The following is a 13,588-nucleotide window of genomic DNA, read 5'->3' as shown; positions in this document are numbered from 1 at the left end:
TTGGAATATTTGTCTTTTTCTTACTATTTGTAAGACTGGATTTTAAGAAAAGCCTTCTCCAAATACCTTAAGGAAGATAAGCTTTCACTGGTGAGATGAGTGTTGGTAAGGGAAACTGTATGTGGAAGGAATGAGCTGTGATAAGATGCTGGCCTCTCTTCCTGCCTCAAATTTCACTTTCTCCCGCTTAGCGGTCCTTGGTCAGAAGGTGGAGCCCAGGGTAGAGAGGTGGAGGATCTCTGTCATCGCTATTCCCTGCCACTAGGCGGCGCTCTTCTCCCCTCCCTGGTCTACCCTTGGTTGTGGACAAGTTCAATGCTAGCTCAGCTGAGGCAACCATGGCATGTCTTGAAATGAACCTGATTAAGAAAACAAAGGAAGACACAGCCACTCCACCTCCTTAGCCTGTGGTAGATTCACCCAGACCTGTAGCTGAACCTGGAGGGATTTTCTGTCTTTTCCAGAACTCTTTCCTAAGCATATCTATAGATCTGGCTCTCCCGGCTTCCCCCTCTGATGCCATTGTCCTTGGCCTTTCCCATGAAGAACAGCCTCCTTCCTGCACCTGTAGGAAGTCTCTATTGCTCTGGCTTTCGGCTCCCTTACCCCCAGCCTTGACTCACTCCCTTCTGTCTTGCTGGTGTGCACATTTATGGGTCAGTTAAGGGGCCATGATGCGGCTTTGGTGTCCAGCCCCACCTTCCACCTGCATCAGCTCCTCTGCATGGGCTGGAAGAACCCCTGTGTCTTCCTGCTATGTACTTTCCGCTCTCCCTTGAGCCCTCTCCAAGTTCCCATGTGTTGTATCAGAGGCAGATCTTGATCCCATTGTGGAGTACAAATGACTCACAGACCCCAAACACAGGTAGCTCCTGTTTTGGCTACATACCCTTCAGGTGTCCTAAGCCGAAGCGACTTGCTGCAGGGATCTTGATGGGATGTGTTCATCGATGTAGCCCAGATTTAGAACAGTGCCTGACACATAGTGGGCATTCCATAAAACGTTTGTTGAATGAATAAGTGAATTAGGTTTTGCTTGAACACCCTGTCCACAACCAGTTCTAGAACCTTTTGCCTACAGCCACATATATAAGAGGAAAAATCTTTAATAAGTGCAATAACAGCAGCTCACTTGTCTATCACAGTATAAGGAGATTTGCTTTCCAATTTTCAGCCCATTTGAAGGAAAAACATGACTTATCTAAATATTATTTAATATAGTTGGACTGAAATATCACAGCAAATATCTATAGCCTTAAGATAGGCATTCATGCAAGTCAATTGGCTGCCTAGTGCTGGGGAGGAGGGGTTGGGGAAATGATGAGTAACTGTTTATGGGCACGGGATTTCTTTTGGGGGATGAAAATGTTCTAGAATTGATTGTGGTGATGGTCACACAACCCTATGAATATACGAAAAACCATTGATTTGTACTTTACATGAGTGAATTGTATGGTTTCTGGAAAGTCTCTCATGAATACTTTTATTTTAAGAAGACATAAGCAATTAAATATTAATTTTCACTTCTTTTTAGGCCTTCAGAAACTCCTTTGAATAGGCAATACAACTTTTAAAAAGCTCTCCCCGCTTCCCCAGTTTGGTTCCTATCCTAGCCATTGTGGTGCATGCTTCATGGCTTGCTTGCTCCGAGCGTTTGTCTAGCAGTCTGTGGATCACCATAGAAGTGGGCTCTGGACAAGGATGAAGAAGGAACACTGATGGGCCAGGAGGCTGTTGTCCAAAGCTCCTGTTCCCAAGCCAGGAATAAAGAAGCTTTGCCAGGTTAGGAGCCACTACTTCAAGTTTCTTAGGTTTTCCACCAGCAGAGCCCAACTTGCAACAGATTTCCAAGCTCCCAGCGTAGCCAAATAAATATGCCACATGTTTAATTATATGTGTTATGTAAGAATTTAAAGTCCTCTAAGGAGAAAACAGGAGCAAACAACTAACTCAGATACTCAAAAATCTTTGAAAGAATCAAGGCATCTGAAGTCAAGAGCCTGAAATTTTAGAAAGGAGAACTTCTGGCTACAGAACCCCTGTTAACCCTTGCCATCCAGCATCCTTCCTGTTTCTCTTTTGCTGTCAAGTATTGTGCACCTGTGTTAATATTATCCTGAGTTAAACAGGAACAGAATGGTGGAGGAGTGTTTGATGTATTTCAGAACACCAAAAATTCTTTTTGCGGTATTCTTATTCTGGGACTTTATATCATAGCTTCTTCAAAGAGTCGTCCATAAAATAGCATAATAATAATTCTTATTTCAAAAAGTTATTGGGAAGATTAAATAAGATAATACATGCAGTATACCTGGTAAATGAGATATATGTACTACATGCATTCTGTTATTATTAATTCAAGAAGAAGTTGGCTGTGCTGAGCACCTTTTAATTTTGCCATACTAATCATGCCAAAATGTGCTCTGCCTGGGCCTGGGGTGTTCATTTTTGGCAGGGATGCTCCCCTGCAAGGAAGAGGAGAGCCAGGCTGCTGGAGTTTGAATTCCAGTTCTGCCACTTCCCAGCTGTGTAGGCTGGAACCAGTTTCCTCACTGCCTTACTCCTTGGTTTCCTCATCAATACAATGGATTATTGAAATTGGAAGTCATAAATCTACTTCATAGGGTTGTTACGGAGGATTCAATAGGCTAATATTTGTAAGGTGTTCAGAAGATGGGCTAGCATATTCAAAGTGCTGATTTGCATTTTTATTTATTTATTTATTGAAACGGAGTCTCTTTCTGTCACCCAGGGTGGAGTGCAGTGGTGCGATCTCGGCTCACTGGAACCTCTGCCTCCCAGGTTCAAGCGACTCTCCAGCTTCAGCCTCCCAAGTAGCTGGGACTATAGGCACGTGCCACCACACCTGGCTAATATTTGCATTTTTAGTACAGATGGGGTTTCACCATGCTGGCCAGGCTGGTCTTGAACTCCAGGCCTCAAGTGATCTGCTTGCCTCGGCCTCCCAAAGTGCTGGGATTACAGGCGTGAGCCACCGCTCCCAGCCTGATTTGCATTTTTTAAATAAGAAGATGGATAGGTAGGTAGCTGGCCTCTGCTATGGGAGCGGAGAGGGGGAAGGGTCATGCTATGTGGCAGTAGTGACTGCAAGCTGGAGGCGAGCCTGAAAAGAACAAGTCCAGAGCACTTCCTCCTGGAAGGAAAAAGTGGCACCAGGTGGGAAATATTCAGAAAACATTGCTAAGACAATAGTGGAACTCCAGCTGCAGAAGTTTTCGCCCCCTTGCTAGAAAAGTTCTGGAAGTGAGATAGATGCTTATTAACTTAGGATGGTGTAGATATAAGTCTGTGCAGAAATGAGATCAGATGATCAGATGGGCTCCTTAGGCCCTATTTGATGTAGTACGAGATGAAGTCCATAAACTGGACCTTGATAAAACCTTCAACATGATTTGAGCAATGGGTAAAAGTAGTAAGACAAAAAACCATCAGAAAAGGAACAAAAACATTAGCTGACTTTTCCTAAAGGGATTCTTTTGGTTTTGTTTGCTTTTAATATTTGAAGACTTCCAAGTCTGTACCATTTGTCACTTAAAAACCAATAACAACAACAATAAACCCCAACAATGTTTACATAGAAATCTACCATCCCTTCAACTGAGCTTTTGGAGAAATGAAGATTTTGCAATGGGAAAGTATTCTATCTTCAGAAGTACGGTGACAGCAGTCTTATTTTTGAATCTACATCCTCCCTTGAATCTAGGAGGAGGACACAAATAACATACCCCCGGCCCAGTTCTCCAGTGCTCCCCATTCACCCAGCCCAGTAGATGCTCAGACAGAGCTGTTACTCTAAAAGCCCAATTTCCCATTTCCCTAGCACAAAGCAACACATGGTCTACCTACTGACCCATCTCCTGGCTCCTGTGGCCCACTGATTGTGGTCTGGGGATGCTGGTGGTAGAAGCAGCAGAAGGGGATGGCCTTGGCAAGGTGGTGGGGGTGGCCACAGCTACAGTGACAGCCAGAAGCTGCATCAGAGTGACCGGCTGTGCAGTTGTCCCTGGAATAGGTGGCCTCTGATAGGCTTTTGTGGTCTCACCTGTAAGAAAATGGAATTATACCAAGGCCCACAAAATAACCTGTACACTCTTATAGAACTAGAAATAAAATAAATGTTGATTGAACACTAGCTATGAGCACAGAGCTGTGCTAGCCACGGTGAAGGGTGAAACCCAGGTAACAGCCACATTCTTGCCTGAAAGAATGTATGCTCTCAGAGCAATCACTCAATCAACCAAAGATTCAATAGCAATAAAATAAATGACAGGTCAAAACTATAGCAACATAGAACATAGACAAGGCAGAACATGATTAATTGCTGAATTAATTTGCCTGGCACCACTAGCAATGGTTTATGTACATTTTTTTTTGTTTTTGTTTTTTGCTGATTTGATTAGCATTGGCCTTGGAATAGAAGACAGAAGGTGCATTTGGGGCTTTCATTATGACCTAGTCTTAGAGAATACGTTTTAGATGCGCTGGTTTAGGTTGGTTCATGACTAGTCAACTCTTCTGGGCCCCAGTTTCCTAATCTGTAAAATGGGGTAATAGAACTACCTGGATGGCAAGGATGATCCAGATTCTACATTTTTTTTCTTTTTTGAGACAGGATCTTGCTCTGTCACCCAGGCTGCAGTGCAGTGGCACAATTATAGCTCACTGCAGCCTCGAACTTCTGGGGTACAGTGATCCTCCCACCTAACCTCCCAAGTAGCTGGGACTACAGGTGCAAGACACCATACCTGCCTAATTTAAAATTTTTTTTTTGTAGAGAAAGCATCTTCCTGTGTTGCCTAGGCTGATCTTGAACACCTGGCCTCAAACAATTCTTCCATCTCAGCCTCCCAAAGCTCTGGGATGACAGGTGCAAGCCACTGTGCTCGGCCTAGATTCGACTTCTAAATGGTGCTCTTCATCCACGTGTGATGATTTAGATCACTTCTCTCCTTTTAAACACCGCTGTAGTTGGCTCCCTATAAAGCAAGTCTCAGTTTGTTAGTGCTCTGAGAATATCTCTGAAGGTTTAGAGCAAGGGGACAAGTGGCTACCCACTGGGCATTGGGGTTTGTCTTGAGAACTGTGAGTTCTCAGGGAGACACACAGTGGCCCCCAAAGTGAACAGCTCCTCGGTCCTGGGAAGGAACAACCCACTGTTGCTTGTGCCTGCTGGGCCCCATTGGGGCATGCCAGCTTCTGTCCCTGTGTACCTGTATCAGCTGCTAGGGCTGCTGTAACAAACTACCACAAACTGGGTGGCTTAAAATGACAGAAATTTATTCTCTCACAGTTCTGGAAGCCAGAAGTCAGACATCAGCATCACTGGGTCAAACTCAAGGTGTCAGCAACACTGAGCTTTCTCAGGAGGCTATAGGGTAGACTCTGTGTCTTGCCTCTTCTGCTTTCTGCTGACTGCTGGCATTCCTTGGCTTGTGGCCATGCCACTTTAGTTTTCAAGGCCAGCATCTTCAGTTGTTTCTCTGCTCCGTCGTCATATGACCTCTGATATGGTTTGGGTCCGTGTCCCCACCCAAATCTCATCTCAAATTGTAATCCCCATAATCCCCACCTGTCAAGGGAGGGATGAGGTGGAAGGTGATTGGATCATGGGGGCGGTGTCCCTCATGCTGTTTTCATGATAGTGAGTGAGTTCTCACAAGCTCTGATGGTTTTATAAGGCAGTTTTTCCTCTCTCTCTCTTTCTCTCTCTCTCTCTCTCTCGCCTGCTGCCATGTAAGACATGCCTGCTTCCCCTTCTGCCATGATTGTATGTTTCATGAGGCTTCCCCAGCCATGTGGAACTGTGAGTCAACTAAATCTCCTTTGTTTGTAAATTACCCAGTCTTGGGTAGTGTCTTTATAGCAGTGTGAGAACGAACTAATACAACCTCCTCCTCTATGGATGTGAAATAATCTCCCTCTGCCTTCCTTTTACAAAGATGCCAGTGATTGCATTTAGAGCCCACCTGGGGAATCCAGAATAACCGCCCCGTCACGATCTCAGGATCCTTAATTTAATCACATTAGCAAAGGCTCCCCACATTTTTTCCATATAAGGAAACATTCAATGGTTCCAGGGATTAGGACATGGATATCTTTTCCAGGGTGTTTTTCAGCCTACCACAGCATCCCAGCTCTGGCCTTAACTCTGCTTGGGGTTGATACATTTTTGTTACACAGCACAGCAGACCAAGAAGATAGCATCTGAAATAAGAAGGTGCTTCTGTCTTGGTGGGAACCATCCACCTTCCCCTTTGACATTGTATAACATCCAGGAAAATAGTGCCAGAATCATAGTCCTGGACAAGTGATGCAAACAAATGTGTGGTGGGGTGTTTAGACCCACCGCCAACAGCAGCACCTGCTCATTTCCCCACCCTGACTCTGCCGTCTTTTGCAGGAATCACAGCACTGACTTAAGACAGCAGGTCAGCAAACAGTATTCCTGGAATCGGGTTGGAATTCAGCCATTCGGTCTGCTCTTGCAGGCATTAGCTGGTCAAGGTAGGAAACCGATCTTTCAATTGCCTTGTTTCTTGCTAAGTTGGTCACCTTTAAATTTGCCTGTAGCCTGTGTCAGACAAATCACTAAAGAGCTCACAGCAGCCTCCTTCAAGCCATCCTCAGGCAAAAGTGAATCTGCCTGATTTATGACATTTCCATTATTTTAAAGAGTTTGAGCTTTCATAACAAGTACTAGGGAAGTTTCTAATTTCTCCAAAGTACTTCTCCGTCTTACCCTCTGGTAATGCTACCAGGCATTATTGCCTCCTTACGGAGATGCAGGCCCGGGTTTGACCTACTTCATCTAGGGAAAAGCCATTTAACAAATCCACTTGTATATTTTATGAAATAGGATGTAATTAATAATTTGGAAAGAAACATACATAAACTGACAATCTATTTTACTTGTAAATGATTCATGAAACTGCAATGTACTAAAAATAAAACTTCTACTTGCAAATAGTGAACACTTTTTGCCACCTAAAACTTATTATATATTGAAAATCGGAATTATCTTTTTGTCACACCATTGGCTAATCCCAAGGCTGCTGACCATCCCAGTCTGCCTTTGCTAAAATTGATTTGCTAAAGAAAGGCTGAAGATCCTGAGGGCAGTCTTTGTATCACTTGCTCATAATGCAGATGCTTTCAAGTGTATCATAAATTCAACTAACAGCCATGGGCTTCCACGGGCTTCCGTGGGCTGTTGTTTTTGCCTGCTCTCCTTCATGGATTACAACTGTCTTTAAGAGGGAAGATAGACGCCTGTAATCCTAGCACTTGCGGGGGCCGAGATGGGTGGATCACTTGAGGTCAGGAGTTTGAGACCAGCCTGACCAACATGGAGAAACTCTGTCTCTACTAAAAATACAAAATTAGCCAGAGGTGGTGGCACATCCCTGTAATCCTAGTTACTCCAGAGGCTGAGGCAGGAGAATGGCTTGAACCCGGGAGGCGGAGGTTGTGGAGAGCCGAGATCGAGCCATTGCACTCCAGTCTGGGCAACAAGAGCAAAACTTCATCTCAAAAAAAAAAAAAAAAAAAAAAAGGGAAGATAGAGAAAAATTACTCCTCCTATCCCAATTGCTCCCAATTCCTCACTGAACATAATACCCTTGATTTGATCCAAGGTGAATTCTTCATGGAACCAAGTTCTTTTTGAGCCATTTGAAAAAAAACTAGTAAAATAGTTTCTTCCTGCAATCTCAGCTACATAAAGTTTTGATCTTTTTTCAAAGATTTTTATGGGAAAGCATTTCAAAACTTCCCTTAAACTCTACACATATTCCTCATTTGGGTGTGGTCGGAAGAGCTCCAGGCAGCCACCTTCTCAAACATAGCAGGTGGTGCCACACCACTCCCCACACCTGGCTCATCGTTAGAACCACACTGGAGGTGTTAAAATGCAGGTTCCAGGGCCCTGGTCGTGGAGATTCTGACTCACTGGACCCAGGGTGGGCCGTGGAATTCTCATTTGAGAACCACAGCGGGGGACTCAGCAGACAGCCAGGGAAGGCAGAAGAGGTTTTTCCCATGCTAGCTCAGTAGCCTCTAACAAAGATTTACTTTCCCTTTTCTTGCTGTGATACTAGGAATGTGCCTTCCTAGTTTTTTTTAAAAAAACTTCTACAAAGCAACACTTCCCTGTTTTTATTTAGCTCAAGGCTCTAGCCAAAAAGCAGCTGCCTGCCTAATGGTTGCTAAATGCCAGGGCAGTTGGGGCGCGGTGGTGGGGGAACAGTATTTAAACCTCAGGGAACGCCTGTTCTCAGTGTGAGCCGCACAGGGCAAATCAAAGTGCCTTCTATTTTTTGAGGGGGATAATTTCCCATGGTAGAAGGTTGTCATGCTTTTGGGGGTCATCCTAGCCTGATTAGCCTGTTAATTCATATTGTCAGAGAGACGGGACACATTTTTTAGGGTCATGCGGAGACCTGAACAGCTGCTCAGCCTTCATCTCTTCTGCTTCCCCAATGACTAAAGGAATTCTATGGTTTAAGGAAGACCAAGGGGACCACTCCTTTAATTGTACTCATTGAAATTTTTTATTTGAATTCGTGAAAACTTACTCCTAAGTAAGACTAAGGACTTAGGACTTGGGGACTAAGACTTTACAGAGAGAGGCTCTTCTATCCCCAAGAATCCCTTTTATGTTGGAATGCTGGTAGTTTAGCTCAGGGTCTTGCACGTAGGAGATGCTCACTCAATGTAAACATTGAATGAATGAATAAAATGAAGGAGTAAATAATTTTTCCGACTCTGACCATCATAGATCATCTAGTAACAAGGAGATGATAGTAATGCCTAGTGATACTGTCATCAAAAGTTTAAACGGTTTGGTAAAGGGGCAAGTGACATCAGCAATGCTTGGCTCTTGCTAGTTTATAAATTTCACGAAAAGCACCCTTGGCTATCCACACTCCTTGTGGATGTCAATGACTCAGGCATCTGGAACAAGTGCTTGCTGGGGGTGAATGGTGCTTGGGGTAAATAGATAGTTTTAGAAATTGTCTCTGCTGCGGAGAACGTACAAACCAAGTAGACTTTTATTATCCGAGTTATCATTTGGCTATAGTTTCTCTGCCCTACACTCTTTTCCCTGCAACTTTCCCTGCTTTAAGGTGATACCGAGTTTGCATACTTTTTGGGCTGCTTAGAACTATGGCCTTGGGTGAGTTACTAAACCTCTCTCAAGGTCAGCTTCCTTATCTGAAAAGGGAAGATACTGGCACTCTACCTCGGGGTTACTGTAGTGCAGGTGTGTGGCACAGAGAAAGTACTGGACAGACGACTACAGTCACAGAAGGTTATGTGGCCCTTCCTGCTGTCCAGATACGGCCCAAAGCTGAAGCCAGAAGGGCACAAGTACTCCTTTCTTTTTTCTTTTTTTTTTAGATGGAGTCTCGTTCTGTCACCCAGGCTGGAGTGCAGTGCCGTGATCTTGGCTCACTGCAACCTCCACCTCCCGGGTTCAAGTGATTCTCCTGCCTCAGCCTCCCGAGTAGCTGGGACTACAGGCACGTGTCACCACGCCCAGCTAATTTTTCGTATTTTTAGTAGAGACGGAGTTTCACCATGTTAGCCAGGATGGTCTCCATCTCCTGACCTCGCGATCCGCCTGCCTCGGCCTCCCAAAGTGCTGGGATTACAGGTGTGAGCCACTGCGCCCGGCCACAAGTACCCCTTTCCAAAACAGGAGAGATGCCACTGAACTTCCCACGGGTGAGGCCATTCCAGTAGAACCTGCACAACACCCCCGACACCCCCATCCCAGGCCAGTGGACAGAAGGAAAGGACCCGAAAAACAGGAGGGGTCAGAAGCCACCTTTTAGAGGGTGCTGAGTTCACAGTCAGAAGATATTTTCTCCCTTCCTTCACACTTTGTCGTACCCAAGCCAAATGAAGGTGCTTTAAGAGAGTCATTCGTCAAGATTGTGGGGACCTGCCAGGAGGGCAGGTGGGCATCTTATTTCCAACCAATCTTTCTGCAGATCCATCACACGTGTGCAATACAGCAACAGAGCTCGCAGAGTTTTGGGGGTGTATTCTGGGAGTCTAGAAGTGCTCTTCCACTCATGGTAAAAATAGGGGGTGCTTGACATGTGGTCCCTGAAGTTGGGGGCTTTATGTGAACCTGGGGACTGTTTCTGCCCTAGGGATCTCTGAGAGGGGGAGGGGTGCAGCTGGAGTGGCTCATGCCAGCAGGGCTCATGCAGCAAAATGCGAGGAGGGAGGTGACCTCACCCCATCCCAGTTCTCAGACCTGAGGGTGCCAAAGAGAAGCCTGGCTGTTCCCATGGCTCTGTGGGAAGGGGCTGCCCCAGGGGGCTGCTGGAACCAGGCATCCGTATCTACCTTGGAGAAAGGAGTGAGGGGCACAGATTTCTGGCCCAACAAGAGGGTGCCAGGATGAAACTAAACACTGTCTCCTTGCCTTCGATATCTACACACATCACCTACCCAGGAATCAGTCTTTCCTCTGGCTCTGCAGAGCCACAGGGCCAGATGAAACAACAGAGATGCCAGCCACTTAAGGAGACCTGTCACCCATTCTTCGTCTCTGTGCCCAGGTCAAAAGAGGACAAGCGATATCTCAGAAATGGCCCACGAGGCACCAGACCCACTGCCAGTTCACGGGTGGAGGTGGGGAACAGCTCTATCCTTGAAACTAAACAAACAGGACTAGACCACTGGATCCATTAAAAAGTAATTAAAGATAGAGGTGGAGCAGTAATTAAGAGAAAAGACAAAAAAAATTCCTTATTTGTATGCTAAGGCTCCTCAAATCAGGAAATCAGCGATCTATATACGTACTATTAGCATAAGAAAATCTAGAATGGGCCAGGAACAGTGGCTCATGCCTGTAATCCTAGCATTTTGGAAGGCCGAGGCGGGAGGATCATGAGGTCAAGAGATCGAGACCATCCTGGCCAACATGGTGAAACCCCGTCTCTACTAAAAATACAACTATTAGCCGGGCGTGGTGGCAGGTGCCTGTAGTCACAGCTACTCGGGAGGCTGAGGCAGGAGAATCGCTTGAACCTGGGAGGCAGAGGTTGTAGGGAGCTGAGATCGCACCACTGCACTCCAGCCTGGCAACAGAGTGAAACTCCGTCTCAAAAAAAGAAAAAAAAAAAAGAGAAAGAAAATATAGAATGGTGGTTTAGAGAGGGGTTTCTGTTTGATGGAAGTTAATTTACTTAACTTCTCTGTGCTTCATTTTCCTCAGCCAGAGTAATAGTATAGGCCGATGGTGGTCTACGGTGATTAAACACAATGATCAGGTAAAATTCTTGGAATGATGCCTGGCATACAGCAAATGCTCAATAAATGCTAAGTTCTACTGCTATTCTTAAACCGTGTTCACCTTAAGTACATGAACAGAACCTGAACTATCAGGCTCATAATGTATTAGCTAGCCTATCAAGTTTCTGGAAGCAATGCAAAATCCCGTTATAAAGCGACTCACAGTTTCTCTTTGTGTGGGAAATCAAAACACCTCTGGAGATACAATAATGCATAGTACAGTTCTTGATTTAACACAGAAACCTGGAAAAAGGTATTTTCTTGGCCTGAGGTCTACCGATACTCCCTTTTGTGGTTCACATGAAAGCTGAGTTGGCACAACCTTGTAGACAGTGTATTTTTGGCCTGGGTTATTTGGATGAGCAGCTTGCTGTTATCACATAAACCACCTCGTTCTCTTTGCTTCTCTTCATTTCATATCTAAGTAGATACAGCTTTTTCCTTTTAGCTGCCAGGAAACATTTCCGGACAGAATGTCATGTCATTTTCTAAAGCAACAATACATTAAAACTCAAGGCAACAGTCAATCTGAATGAAAATGACACAAATATAGAGACACAATCTCGGAATTGCAAAAACAAAAAATAAAGCTTTCATTCTTCAGCCCCAGCCATCTGATCTCATTGATTTCTGTGCCCATGTTCCTGGCATCTGTTAAAATATTGCCAGAGCCAGTGGAGCTTGACCGGTTAAGATGTTAATTTCTCCGCTATCTCCCAAAACACGTCGCGTGTTCATGGACTCAGAAGGTTTAGATTCAATCACACGTGAGCACTTGCCTGCTTGGGCAGCTGGACTTTTCGATGATGAGTATGTAAGAGCTGATGGGTAGGTTACACCCTTTTTGGGTTTACTTTCTGCAAAAAAGAGAAAAAAAAAACGAGATTTATTTCTAGAGCTAGAGGTTTTAGATGGTTCTGTACTAAGTTGATTCTGTCCTTTCAATTTATCTCTCTTCAGTTCAATAAAATCAGTCTCCCTCATGCTGAATAGTTGATTACAATGAGAATGTCATGTGGCATTTTGTTTTCCTGTATAGCTTGTGTTTTATTACTATTAGAATGGAAGCAACCAACTCTCCATGATTCAGAGTTGCTTAACATCAGCAATCCTTCTTTCACCCGTGAAGATGTGACATGGAAGTGAAGGTTTTTATCTGTGTGGCTTCGAATGTTTAATTGTATCAGTAGGTGAACGGGAAAGCCCTCCACATGCTCTCCTTTGAGATGATGGAGTGCTCCGGTCATAGGCTCACTTTCACAGACCGTGTGGGATTCATTTGAATTTCATAGCAGTAGTAAAACCTAAAAGTAGGTAAATATAGGTCAACCTTGAAAATAACCATGTGTTGCTCACCCAGGGGGAGACACGGTAGCTAGCAGGCAAGGAAGAGGAATGGTAACGTCTATTAGGGAAAAAAATAAGCATAAAAAAATTGCCAAAGTCTTCTTCTGACCATAAAAGGACGCCTGAAATTCCACCATATGGTCTTTGTTCCACAAGTAAAGTGAGAATGCCACTGGAATACAGTAAGCCCCCTGAAGGCAAGTCATTTTTCTGACTTGGTAACGGTTGAATTTTCAGAGCTCAAAGCAATTTGTTCCTGGCGTGAAGCAGTTGCTCAAGAAGTATTTATTCAGTGGGGGAATATCTTAAAGCTTAGATCTCTGTTAAAATTAAAATACCTTGGTAGGGGTACTACCTGTTAGCCAATATTACATCTAGTAATGAAAGCATTTCTTCTCCCATCTGGAGGGAATACTTTTACAGGATGCGAAGATGGTAAGCAGTGTGGCACAGAGAACCTAGGTGGGTGGAGGAGGATCTAGGGCACTATCTTGCCAACCATCCTGCTGGCACAGGAATCGTAGGGTCATGAAGCAGAAAGAATAGCAGGGTCTAGGTAAGAACCTAGGATTAGGAGTAAGACAATCTAGGTTTCTGTTTCTGTTTTACCTTTAATTAACTGCCCCAACCTTTGAGGCTCTTGTGTTTTCATTCACAAAACAGGAATAATGACACGGCCCTGCTTACTACACAAGATTGTAGACATCTAATGGAAAAAATGTTAAAATGTTTTGGAACTATGTATCTCCATAGAGATGCAAAAATTTCTTCTGGTGTTACCTATAAATGCCACGTGTTTGGGCTTACTTGCATTACTTTACCTCATTAGAATCACCTGGGGAACAGGACTGGCATTTCCAAGTCCTCCACCAATGTCAAGGCCTGCTCCAAATGACAATGACTGAGGTTA

General features: G+C 44.5%; 1 protein-coding gene and 1 long non-coding RNA gene across 14 annotated transcripts in view, besides 1 other annotated feature; one reads left to right on the top strand and one right to left on the bottom strand.

Annotated features, from left to right (window-relative positions):
• Positions 1-13,588, top strand: part of LOC124905990 (uncharacterized) — a 118,030-nt gene that overhangs the window by 36,282 nt on the left and 68,160 nt on the right. Inside the window, exon 2 of the long non-coding RNA XR_007086283.1 lies at positions 6,422-6,525. This is a non-coding gene — a long non-coding RNA (uncharacterized LOC124905990). The remainder of the gene's footprint in view (positions 1-6,421; positions 6,526-13,588) is intronic.
• VIT (vitrin) overlaps positions 1-13,588 on the bottom strand; it is a 118,088-nt gene that overhangs the window by 43,638 nt on the left and 60,862 nt on the right. For 6 of the 13 annotated variants that reach the window (NM_053276.4, NM_001177969.2, NM_001177970.2 and 3 more), the window contains 2 exons: positions 12,111-12,188; positions 3,872-4,063 (listed from right to left, as the gene is read on the bottom strand). In NM_053276.4, the coding sequence (NP_444506.2) occupies positions 3,872-4,063; positions 12,111-12,188 (270 nt within the window). Of the gene's footprint in view, positions 1-3,495; positions 4,064-8,546; positions 12,189-13,588 lie in introns of those variants that run through there. The other 7 variants (NM_001391966.1, NM_001391967.1, NM_001391968.1 and 4 more) reach the window with 3 other exon arrangements.
• Positions 304-353: an enhancer, noted in NCBI's record as "active region_15577". NCBI's record gives its function as "activates an Ori minimal core promoter by ATAC-STARR-seq in GM12878 lymphoblastoid cells {active_cell/tissue: GM12878}" and the evidence as "EXISTENCE:reporter gene assay evidence [ECO:0000049][PMID:35858748]".

This window comes from Homo sapiens, chromosome 2 (assembly GCF_000001405.40).
Source record: "Homo sapiens chromosome 2, GRCh38.p14 Primary Assembly".
Lineage (NCBI taxonomy): Eukaryota > Metazoa > Chordata > Mammalia > Primates > Hominidae > Homo > Homo sapiens.
This window is presented reverse-complemented; position numbering and strand designations above follow the sequence as displayed.